Source organism: Homo sapiens, chromosome 13 (genome assembly GCF_000001405.40).
Source record: "Homo sapiens chromosome 13, GRCh38.p14 Primary Assembly".
Lineage (NCBI taxonomy): Eukaryota > Metazoa > Chordata > Mammalia > Primates > Hominidae > Homo > Homo sapiens.
The window spans coordinates 26,065,597-26,078,458 of NC_000013.11; the positions used below are offsets into that span (position 1 = coordinate 26,065,597).

The following is a 12,862-nucleotide window of genomic DNA, read 5'->3' on the forward strand; positions in this document are numbered from 1 at the left end:
TTCCCAAAGTGCTGGGATTACAGGCGTGAGCTACCGCGCCCGGCCGAATTCATACTTCTTATTGCAAGACTGTGGTGAGCGCAAAAGTCATTAATCTTATGTAAAAGAATGCATGTTTTAGGATACATATTCTTTTTTGGGTCCACAAACATACATAGAAATTTAAATGATAATACATGGCAGAATAAAAAAGATTAATAGGCCGGGTATGGTGGCTCACGCCTGTAATCCTAGCACTTTGGGAGGCGAAGACAGGAGGATCGCTTGAAGCCAGGAGTTCGAGACCAGCCTGGGCAACATAGTAAGACCGCTGTCTCTACAAAAAAAATAATGTAGCTAGGTGTGGTGGTATGAGCCTGTAGTCGTAGCTACTAGGGGAGCTGAAGAAGGAGGATCACTTGAGTTTAGGAGGTTGAGGCTTCAGTGAGCTGTGATTGCACCACCACACTCCAGCCTCTGTGACAATGTGAGATTCTGTCTCAAAAAAGAAAAAATCACAAGGAGGAAAAACTCCCAAATCATTCTACGACAAAGTATGTTATACATCATCTTTGATTCAGATATAATAAAGACTAAAGGGAGAAACATAGAATATTTATATTAAAATGAGCCACTCAAACATCTTGTTTCTCCAACAATCACAGGTGAAAATGGGCTTTATTTATATGTTCATTAGGCAGCTGACAGAGAAGAAATCTTACTGACAGTGAAGAAATTATTGTATCTTCCCCATCATGTCAAACTTACAACATTTAACTGATACAACTTTAATGATAAAAACATGTTAATGTGGCAGGTTGAATGCAAGAATGGCTCGAATGCTCTACCCCTGCACATATTCAGACTCTTGAAATGTGACTTTGGAGCCCCTCCCGCCGAGAAGTGTAGTCTATTTCCCCACACTTAGAATCTGGGCAGCGTTGTGATTTACTTTACCTAACAGAATGCAGCAGAAGTGACCGTTCTGAATTCAGTTCTCAGGAGGCCTTGCAAGCTTCCATTCCCACCCTTAGAACCCTCTCATGTCATGAGGGCAAGCGCAGTTCTCTACTGGAAGATGAGAGACCGCGTAGAGCAGAGACAGGTGGTCTAAGCTGATAACAGCCTGTACCAGGCAGCCCTCCACCCACGTGGCAAGTGGCTGCAGCCACAGGAGCTGAGTCAGCCCGGCTGAGACCCTACAGGTCTGGCCCAGGTCAGTAGCACCACCCAACTGACCTAGAGAGTGGTGAAGAATAGATGTTTTGTTAAATACAACTGAAGGTTTATGGTTACTGGTTACATAGCATTGTTATGACAAAAATAATGATATAGTTAATGATTACTTTTTTTTTTGAGATGGAATTTCACTCTTGTTGCCCAGGCTGGAGTGCAATGGCGTGGTTTTGGCTCACTGCAACCTCTGCCTTCCAGGTTCAAGTGATTCTTCTGCCTCAGCCTCCCAAGTAGCTGGGATTACAGGTGCCCGACACCACACCTGGCTAATTTTTGTATCTTTAGTAGAGACTGGGTTTTACCGTGTTGGTCAGGCTAGTCTCGAGCTCCTGACCTTAGGTGGCCCACCAGTCTTGGCCTCTCAAAGTGCTGGGATTACAGGTGTGAGCCACCATGCCCAGCCAAGTATTACATTTTAATAAGAATATCAGGTTTATCCTTTTATTCCAGAAATCCATGTTATGATGGTAATATCTGGCTTTGTCCTCAGTAACTTTTACACTTAGCCATTTAGAATTCAGCCAAAGTATGGATTTGGTGCATCTCTAAGAGGTAATAATTGTTATTTTCAACTTAAAAATAATTTTTAAAAATCACACGTGCAACCGAGGCTCATGAGGGTTTCTCAGACCCAAGTTCTAGTCTATCTCACTCCAGAGCTGTGTTCTTAACCACTAAGGTACATCCTTCTGAGGCAGCTCACACCTGTAATCCAAGCACTTTAAGAGGCTGAAAAGGGAGGATCACTTGAACCCAGGAGTTCAAGACCAGCCTGGGCAACATAGTGAGGCCTGGTCTCTACAGAAAATTTAAAAATTAGCCAGGCAGGGTGTTGCATACTTGTAGTCTCAGCTACTCAGGAGGCTAAGGTGGGAGGATCACTTGAGCCCAGGAGTTTGAGGTTGCAGTGAGCTGTGATCACGCTATGCACTTCAGCCTGGATGACAGAGCAAGATGCTATCTTTAAACAAACAAACAAAACAACCCCAGCTACATCAGGAATGAGCTCTAGCAAGAATGGAGAAGTCATTCTATGGCATGATAGATGATTTATTCTGGGTAGAAAATGAAGAAAGCTGCTTCCATTTGAAAACTGATACCTGTGTACACTATCAAAAATAACTTGGGCCAGGCGCGGTGGTTCATGCCTGTAATCCCATCACTTTGGGAGGCCAAAGTGGGTGGATCACTTGACGTGAGGAGTTTGAGACCAGCGTGGCCAACATGGTAAAACCCCGTCTCTACTAAAAATACAAAAATCAGCTGGGTGTGGTGGCTCACACCTGTAATCCCAGCTACCCAGGAGTCTGAGGCAGGAGAATCACTTGAACCTGGGAAGCAGAGGTTGCAGTGAGCCAAGATCATGCCACTGTACTCCAGCCTGGGCAACACAGTGAGACTCCATCTCAAAAAAATAGTATTAATTTGATGATTTTCTGGGAAAAGGGTCTGATAGCAGAAGTATTATAATCCCATCACGTACTGGCACACAGACACTCAATAAAAGCTTATTGAATTGATGAAACATGTTTCAGTGAAAAATATTTTGCAGCTTAAAGAAAAATCTCTTACTTTTTCTTTTTTTTGAGTCAGAGACTTGCTCTGTCACCCTGAGTGGAGTGCAGTGGCACAATCATGGCTCACTGCAACCTTGAACTCCTAAATTCAAGTGATTTTCCCACCTCAGCCTCCCAAGTAGCTGGGGCTACAGGTGTGAGCCACCACACCCAGCTGATTTTTATTTATTTATTTATTTATTTATTTATTTATTTATTTATTTATTTTGTAGAGACAGGATCTTGTTATGCTGCCCAGGTTGATCTGGAACTCCTGGGCTCAAGTGATTCTCCCTTGGCCTTCCGAAGTGCTGGGATTACAGGCGTGAGCCACTGTGCCTGGCCTCTTAAAGTTATGATTTTACAATACAGTCCTTTCTGTTACTCTCCTGATGTAGTTACTCTAAAATTAGAGTAATAATGTGACCACATGGGTCTAAGTGTTCACCCTCCTTAGATTGAACTAAACTGCCATTTGAGGGGAAGTTGTTGGGGAATCAAGCAGTGTGTTTGTAAGATTGGCACAAAGGAAGCCAAGTAGCCTGTGAGTAAAGATGCCAGTGATAGAAAGCAAACGGATGAGGTAGATAAGATCAGTGGCTCCCAAGGTCATTTTAGGACCAGCAACATCAGCATCACCTGGGAACCTGTTAAAGGCAGATTCTCGGGCCTCACTCTGGCCTGCGGAATCAGAACTTGAGTCAGTCTCAGCTATCTGGGCTCTAACACACAGATTTTTGTTTTTTGTTTTTTTGAGACACAGTCTTGCTCTGTTACCCAGGATGGAGTGCAGTGACGTGATCTCGGCTCACTGCAGCCTCCACCTCCTGGGCTCAAGTGATCTTCCCGCCTCAGCCTCTTGAGTAGCTAGGACTACAGGGGCATGCCTCCACGCCCAGCTAATTTTTGTATTTTTTGTAGAGACGAGGTATCGCCGTGTTGCCCAGGCTGGTCTTGAACCCCTGAGCTCAAGTGATCTGCCCACTTTTGCCTTTCAAAGTGCTGGGATTATAGGCATGAGCCACCACGTCCAGCCTCTAACATACCCTCTCTGATTCTGATCCTGCTGAAGCCTGAGCACCACCAGGCGAGAGAACAGTGTCATTCCAAAGGAGGGTTTCCTTCTTCCTACGCTTTAAGTTTGTGTCTTACTCTCAGTCCAGAAAGGTGGAACCAGGTAGCTCTTACCTTCCTAGTTCTCTGCTCCCAGAGGTTCCTGCAGAAGTTGGAATTTCCTTGTTCTGTGGCTCAGTTTGTTAAAAATGAAAGTGTGTGGGAGAAAAAGGTTAGGAGAAGGTAGCTAGTGATTGCCCGTGGCCTGCCCGTGGCCGTGGCCTCCTGCCGCCACCTCACTTTCCTCTGGTTTCCGGGGTGGGTCAGCAGCCTCCCCTCTCCTTCAGCGGAATCCTCTGGCTGCTCTGAGGAGGTCGAAGCACCTTGTATGTCATGTGAAAAATATTTCCAAGCAAAGTGCTTTGCCTCCAGCTGCAAAATTGATTAGTGGCTTAAAATCCCCAAAGAGTGTCTACCATCAGCTGGAGTTGCTATTTTAAACCTGGACAAAAAAGAGTGTGTGAGAGGGGAAGGGATTGTGTATTATGTACAGGAAAAAAAAACAGTTTTAAAATATTCTTTTCCTCCGAATTGGGAAATGGCACACACAGGGGAAGAAATGTATGAGGAAATGCAATATTATTTTACTTCCTATATTAGAATTTTTTGGTCCAATAGCCTAAAATTTAGTTAATTGTAATAAAACTCCTTCTGAAATTGGAATCAAGAAATTTAGCTTTTGGGGATTTAAGGGATTGTGGAATTAGATGAAAAAGAAGCTGAAATGCAGACTCTGGGGAAGGTGCGTTCCTTGTTGACCGCTTGCCTGGGTGAACTGTCTGATTACATTCAGAAACGCTCCATGCAATACCGCATGGAAATCAAAAATGCCTTTTACCACAGACACGGCAGATTCCAATTATTCCTCAGATCGGAATTTTTTTCCCCTCCAAGTTCATTGTTCTCCATAAAAATGAGTTTCAAATGTCCATTTAAAACCTGCCAATCATTCACTGCCTGAGGACACTAAGCCTGCAGAAAAGTTTGTCCATGGATCATCCCATTAATGTTGCCATAACTTGTATTTTTTATAGATACCTAATATACATATTTATGGGGTATGTGTGATGTTTTGATATATACATACAATGTGTAGAGCAAATCAGGGCAATTGGGGTATCCATCACCTCAAACATTTATCATTTCTTTGTTTTTTGTTTGTTTTTTGAGATGGAGTCTCGCTCTGTCACCCAGGCTGGAGTGCAGTGGTGTTATCTGGGCCCATTGCAACCTCTGCCTTCTGGGTTCAAGCGATTCTCCTACTTCAGCCTCCCAAGTAGCTGAGAGTACAGGCACTTGCCACCATGCCTAGCTAATTTTTGTGTTTTTAGTGGAGACGGGGTTTCACCATGTTGGCCAGGCTGGTCTCGAACTCCTGACCTCGTGATCTGCCGCTTCAGCCTCCCACAGTGCTGGGATTACAGGCATGAGCCACCACACCCGGCCTACTCATCATTTATTTGTGTTGAGAACATTGCAAATCTTCTCTTCTAGCTATTTTGAAATACACAATATTGATAACTATAGTCATCCTACTGTACTAACAAACACTAGACCTTATTTCCTCTAACTGTATGTTTGAACCCATTAACCAACTTCGCTTCATTCCTCCTCTCCCCCTACCCTTCCCAGCCCCTGGTAACCATCACTCTAACTTCATAGCTCTATGAGATCAATGTTTTTAGCTCCCCAATATGAGTGAGAACATGCAATATTTGTCTGTGCCTGGCTTATTTCACTTCACACAATGACCTCCAGCTCCATTCACATTGCTGCAAATGACATGATTTCCTTCTTTTTATGGCTGACTAGTATTCCACTCTGTATATATCCCACATTTTCTTTATCTATTCATTCATTGATGGATACTTACATTGGTTCCACATTTTGGCTGTGGTGAATAGGACTGTGATAAACATGGGAGTGCAGATATCTTGATAAACTTATTGCTTTTGGGGGGTATATATGCTTAGAAGTAGGATTGCTGGATCAAATTAGCCATAATTTTATTTACTCTGCAAACATTTATTGAGCACTTACTAGGTGTTAAACTAACACAGAATATAAAAGTAAGAAGATACTTAACCTATAGGAAGGAAACAAATGTGATAAAGAATGAATTAAATAAGACGTAGTGAGTGCTTTGGTGAATCTTGTTCAACCTGGGCATAGAGGAGGGGGCAGTGAAGAAACCCCCCCTGAAAAGGAGACTCCCAAGCTAGGTGAAGAAGAGGGAGAGGGGGTTTAAAGCAAGAGGAGGGGACTCTGCAAAGACAGATCAGTCTGAAAATCCAAAGGACTGAGAAGTCCTCCTGACTGGCAGGCCACACCTGGAGAGCGGCTGCAGAATGGAGCTGGGAAGAGCATTCAGCTGTTGCTAACATCGTCTGCCAAGGTCAAACTCTAGAAGATAACTCCATTGGGAGTTTGCAGATGGCCTGGATAGGTTGGATGGAGGGCAGACAGACCAGACAGAGACTACAGGAGAAGCAAACTGAATATTTTCATTTGTCTCCAATTAGTTACATCATAAACTCTCATCTTCCCAAACCACAGCTGACACTTCCCCAACCAAAATAGGCCAGAATTCCTGCAGGATAAAATTCACTGTTATAAGATCAGTGACTATTTGCAAAATGGAACAAACAAATCAACAAAAGACTTCTTTTGAAATTTCCAATATTATTAAAGGAAAAACAGAAATAATGTTTTAAGTTGTTACGTGTGTTTAAAAAATGTTAAAAAGGTTAAAAATGTTATACGTTATATGTGTTTTTAAAATGTTGAATGCTACTGAAGCACCTTTGCAATGCGCCCTAATATTCTGAAGTAGAAGGATGCTCGGCCACTGTTTTGGGAGCAAGTTATGAGGAACAGAAAACTACTAGTCTTTTGGCCCAGATGTTTTATTATCGGCTAATGCATAGATTCTTACACAGTGCAGGGGGAAAAAATCAAGGTTTGTGATAGAAAAATACATAAAATTGAAAAAAACAAACAGATGTCATGGGTGGAAAAGCTGCAAGGATCGCATTGGAAGCAAGTGTGCGCTGCCTTCACAAGCTCGGGGACAGGACTGAGAACGGGAGAAATGTCTCTCATGCCCCCTGCTGTCTACTGGCCTGACCTGCAGCATCCAGAGATTTTTCAATCATTTTAGAGAAAATCCTGTCGATTTTTCCTTTAACCCAGAACAATTTACATCACAGTGAATTTTAATTCATCATCCTTATTTACGAAAGCTTCCTCCTCCTTTTTTATTATTATAACAATAAATATTTAAGCGCGGTAGGCAGAGGCCTGGTGCTTGCTGATGGCTGTGTGCATGGAATTCACTCTGGCTGCAATGTGGGGGCTAATTAAGGATGCCAAGAGGAGCTCGAGGACGTGATGAGGTGCCTGCTACCCGTGAATAAACGCGGGAGGTCTTCTGAAATAATTACTGAGAGGACAGGGACCAAGGCTGCGTGTGTATACACTGCAGTAGAGTGTGGGAAAGAGAAGACCAGTGCTGAGCAGAGACCATAGCCAAAGAGGAAAACCGTGAGGACAGGAGGAGAACCAGAGGTGGGCACTTGGCGGGAAGCCCTTGTGTACACTGGACCATGGGAGGAAGAAGAATCTGACTACACCCGGAATTCAGTGTTGCTCCATCTAGTTTAGATGTAAGACACACAGTAGAGTAAGCATCTCTCAGTAAACAAACGAGAGGCCATTAAGAAAAGAAAAGAAATCCCATTTTAGAGAAGCAATCAAATAATGTGGTCAAACTAGTGAAGAAAATGGTTTACCTATATCTGCTCTTCCAGTTGTACTAGCAGCTTCTAAAATTTGATGTTCAAAATTCTTTTTTTTCTTTTTCTTTTTCTTTTTTTTTTTGCGACGGAGTCTCGCTCTGTGGCCCAGGCTGGAGTGCAGTGGCGCGATCTCGGCTCACTGCAAGCTCCGCCTCCCGAGTTCACGCCATTCTCCTGCCTCAGCCTCCTGAGTAGCTGGGACTACAGGCGCCCATCACCACGCCCGGCTATTTTTGTTTTTGTTTTTTGTATTTTTAGTAGAGACGGGGTTTCACCGTGTTAGCAAGGATACTCTCTATCTCCTGACCTCGTGATCCGCCCGCCTCAGCCTCCCAAAGTGCTAGGATTACAGGCATGAGCCACTGTGCCCGGCCTGATTCTTTTAGATCTAAGAACATGAAAAAACTTAAAACCCACACCACAGACTTTGAGGAACTATGTTTCCCGCATGTGGTTTTGGTGGGAAGAGGAAATAGAACCACCACAACTCAATGAATCTATTTATTCACCTGTTCCTTGGAAGCCCAATCTCCTCCACCTCCTTAGCCTTGAGACCAAACCCCCAGCACCGTGCCCGCTGCACATGAGATCTCAGTAAATGTTTGTTTATAGGATTTGAAGTGACCAAGGTAAAATGACGCAAGGAGGTCTCACAGACACAGAACAATGATCACTATTGTATCATGAAATACTCCACAACTCTTTTGTCAGTAGGTTGGATATTTTTGTGAAGCAACTCCTCATGTGCTGATATTTATCCACCCTTCTACCATATTTCCTCAAGAGTACCTTATTGTCAGTCTCCACCCACTCCCTCTTCCCCTCAATGAAAAAGTATTCCTGGGCCGGGCGCAGTTGCTCACGATTGTAATCCTAGCACTTTGAGAGGCTGAAGTGGGTGGATCACCTGAAGTCAGGAGTTCAAGACCAGCCTGGTCAACATAGTGAAGCCTCATCTCTACTAAAAATACAAAAATTAGCCGGATATGGTGCTGCACGCCTGTAGTCCCAGCTACTCAGGAGGCTGAGGCAGGAGAATCTCTTGAACCTGGGAGGCAGAGGTTGCAGTGAGCTGAGATTGCACTACTGCACTTCAGCCCGGGGGAAGAGTGAAACTCCATCTAAAAAAAAAAAATAAGAATAAATAAATAAATATTATTTCCATCAGAAAGCCACCTGTTCATTCTTTCCTACACTGAATTATTATAATCACAAAGGCGCTACTTTTCAGAGCACAATTAGTGTGGCTGCTCAAAAACATCATAAGGCATAACAGCTAACAAAACTTATCTTACTAATAAAATTGCAAGATAATTCAATTGTATTCAAAGGAAATAGAAACACTTTTTATTGACTAACACCCCTGGTTTGACTTAAGTGAATCCAAAGCAGTGGGAAGAATGGAAGCAGGTTTAAGTCCACAGCTTCCCGTGCTTCGTGCTTTCACGGTCCAGGGATAATATTTTCAAAACACAGCGTCTCTGACCTTTTGAGATGCCGCAGATGAACATGACAGTCACGCCTTACTTTTTCCCAAGAATTAAAAGAATGTGAACTATGCCTGGTAAAACAATCTTCGGCTATATCCACTGAATGAACCCAGGAACACGGTGTGTCATCGGGAGAGGGCAGCACACTCCCCCTGGCCACGTCCAGAAGCTGGTTTCCCTTTGAGTCGGCTGAAGAGCTTCCCGAGGCCTCACTCCACCCTAAAAAGCCCAGAGTTACCAGCGTGGGCGGCCGTGAACTGAAACCGGGTGACTTCCCAAAAATCAAGGCTGACTCCTCACACAAATTTCAGGACCACCCTGGACCTTAAAATAAACAAACAAACAAAAACCATATAGCGAGTTCTCTTTTCTGGGACCTGGAGTGGTCCTGGCTCCCACCCGCATAGAAAAGATGATTCCTTGGTTTGAAAACGCCATGAGGCTTTAGGGGCAGGTGGCTTTCTTGGTTCTGCAGAAGCAAAATCCTTGAGAAGTGACTTATCCAGGGGTATCTTAATTTTTGTTTTTATTTTTCTAAGTATTAGATGTGGCTGGTCTTTCTGGGCGTAGTTCCATAAAAGTCATCTTTAGGATAACCTGACAAATCCTGACTTGGGCAGGGGCAGTGCACACACCTACAGTCCCAGCTACTCAGTAGGCAGGAGGCTGAGGCAGAATATTTCTTAAGCGTGGGGTTTGAAACAGCCTGGGCAACATAGTGACACCTCATCTGAGATTAATTAATTAAAAAAAATACTGACATGAGGGGTAAAAAGCCACATTCAGGAAAAGCCTGATCTTGGTGTGTAATCGCGTATTTCCTAGTGAAGATGCATTTTATTCTGCCTAAGCTGGGGATCAGCAGTGGACCACGTGCAGAAGTCAGCAGAGTGGAGGAAACACCCGAAGCCGCATGTGGCCGGTGGCTGGCCTGTATTGAGAGGAAAATGATGGACCATGGGTTCCATCTAGTGTCCTTGGTTTTCTTGGGAAAACCAAAGAGCAAACAGAAAGTCTGAGCAAATAGCTTTGAGAAATGTAGGCAGGCAAGAGACTGCAGACACATTACCTTTAGAAAGTTCCATCCCAAGAGGGAGCCTTAAAAAATAAAAGTCTTCCTGAGCAGAAAAGACACTTTAGCAAGGAGTTTTGGAGCAGGAAGTTTTCCCAAATGATTTACCTAGGGTGGTCCATGGTTGGGTTAGTTTTTGTTTTTGTTAGTTTTAGGAAATCTTTTCTCAAGGAGCCTCCTGGCTGGGGACAGGGAATTTTTCTGGGAATTGACAAGACTCTGTAAAAACAAATTGTGTATCTATTCCCTGACCTGACTGTAACCTATATGAGCTCAGGCAACAGGTTTTTGTTTCCTGCTGTCACCCCAGGGCCCAGCAAAATGTGTGGCAGAGTGACTGCACAGGAAATATTTATTACAATACACATGCAGATTAAAGTATTGACGAATCATATCATACACCTGACATGACTGAAAATTGCTCAAGTGAGCCACGTATCAGCTGAAGGCACTCTATGTGCTGACATTAAATTCACATTAACTGGCCAGGCACAGTGGCTCACCTCACACCTGTAATCCCAGCACTTTGGGAGGCTGAGGTGGGCAGATCACTTGAGCTCAGGAGTTCAAGACCAGCTTGGCCAGCATGATGAACACCCCCAAAAAATTGCCAAGTGTGGTGGCCGGCGCCTGTAGTCCCAGCTACTTGGGAGGCTGGAGAATCACTTGAACCTGGGAGGCAGAGGCTGCAGCGAGCCAAGATCTTGACACTGCACTCCACCCTGGGCCACAGAGCAAAACTCCGTCTCAAAAAAAATACATATATATATTAATTCAACTGCCTCCCATTCTCCCACTCCCCACACATCCTTCTGGGAGCTCAGCCCTTTTAGAGATTTCAGTGAGTTGCTGTTGGTGACCCTGCAGACGTTCCCTTTTCACTCAGAGTCATTCTGTATGTGCTGAACCCAGAATAGAACCCAGGCATTTTCCCCAGATTTCCCAAACGCTATTAAGGTGGCAGTGTGTTTTAGACATTAACTGAAGACTTGGGGGTTAATACTGGGGTTGTGTTATCATACAAATAGCAAGTATCCTAAGACCCCTGGAGATTCAGGCCTTGGTTTCCTTCTCTTCTTTCTCTCAACTCTCCTGAGCCAGCTCATGCAGCCTCCCATAGACCAATGACTGAGAGCTCTGCCTGCAGCCCCTTCTCTGCGCTCTCCATCTGTGCGCTCAGCTGCTCCCCTTACATCTCCATGTGGATGTTGCACAGGCTCCTCAGTCTTACTTACTTGACAAAACCTGGAACAGTAGAAAGGAAGCTCCTGCTGCAACGTGCTCAGACCCCAGCAGGCTGCTGCACTGCATGATGTTGCGATAGGACAAGGATTTTACTAAGCAGTGATGAGGGGCGACTCTCTTTTCAATGTATTCTGTCATTTCTTGGCTTCTGCTTGGTTCACTTCATACACGTCGTTTCACAGCATTTCCCAAGCATATTTCTCTACTGCCAACCTATTCTTCTCTGAACTTATAGAGGGGTGATAATGTTGGTTAGGTTTCTTGTCTTTGTTAATACATAAACAAAAGTCACGTACTGGAGGAGCTGCCAATAATGATCATGGCCACTAGTGCATGGGACACCTTCTCCTTAAGCTGCAGATAATTCTGGTGCTGGGTACACTGGCATGGTGGGCCCTTGAGGGTTCTGTATTCTCTTCCAGGCTTTCCCTCTCTATTCTTGTCATGCAATTTTATGATGCTCCGGACACATTTCAAGTGCGTCTTAGCCACCTTTTGAGAGTGTTACCACCTCCTGCCCCTTTCTCTAAGAGAGGAAACTACTTTGCCACTGACAGCCATTTATCACGTGATCTGGAGTTCTCCAGAAGTGTTTAAACATGTGATGTGAACTAGAGTAACTACGTATTATCCGGTTCATATTACCAATGGCTTATGTGTTCATGTTAGAATTAGGTCTTGGGTAAAAACTAGAAATAAATTGTAAAAACGCACTGATGTTTTTTATAGCGCCAGTGTAGATCAACCTGTGATCTTTCAAAATATGAACTGACTTAAATAACTGCCTAACATTGATAGGGTGAAATTACTTCTCCCTCAAAGTTTAGGTGGTTTTCTGTTTGTATGTTTGCTTTTTGCATGCTCTAATGTTTAATGTTTTTGAGGGCAAAAGTTTTAAAGGTTTGAAAATGATAAATGCTAGCATTTCAAATATGGTAATCTGGTACTATTTTTAAAGTAATTTATGTTAGGTAAATTGGGATGACTTCAGCTGCAATGAACAGAAGCCCCTGACTTAACTGGCTTAAATAATAAGACAACTTATTATTAAGGGTGGCCCAATTGCTGATTGAGACAGCCGCTCAAATATATCACTGCAGGGACCCAGTTTTCCCCACCGCTCTGTTTCACCATTCTGAGCGCTGGCCTTGCCTCCACCCAGGCTGGCTCCTTTTGTGCTCACGTGATTGCTGCAGCGGTTCCAGGTATCACATCTAGGTACAGAAACATCCAGAAGCAGAAAGAGGCCACCGCTCCTGGTCTCCTTCTTCATAGGAAAACAATCTCTCCTATAAGCTTTTCTGCAGGACTCCCCTCTAATCTCATTGGCCAGAATGAAGTCACATGCCCACTTCTAAGCTAATCACAGATGCA

General features: G+C 43.9%; 1 annotated feature.

Moving 5' to 3' along the window:
* Positions 11,201-11,415: a silencer, noted in NCBI's record as "fragment chr13:26650935-26651149 (GRCh37/hg19 assembly coordinates)". NCBI's record gives its function as "represses an EF-1alpha promoter that drives an FKBP-Casp9 reporter gene in an ReSE screen in K562 erythroleukemia cells {active_cell/tissue: K562}" and the evidence as "EXISTENCE:reporter gene assay evidence [ECO:0000049][PMID:32094911]".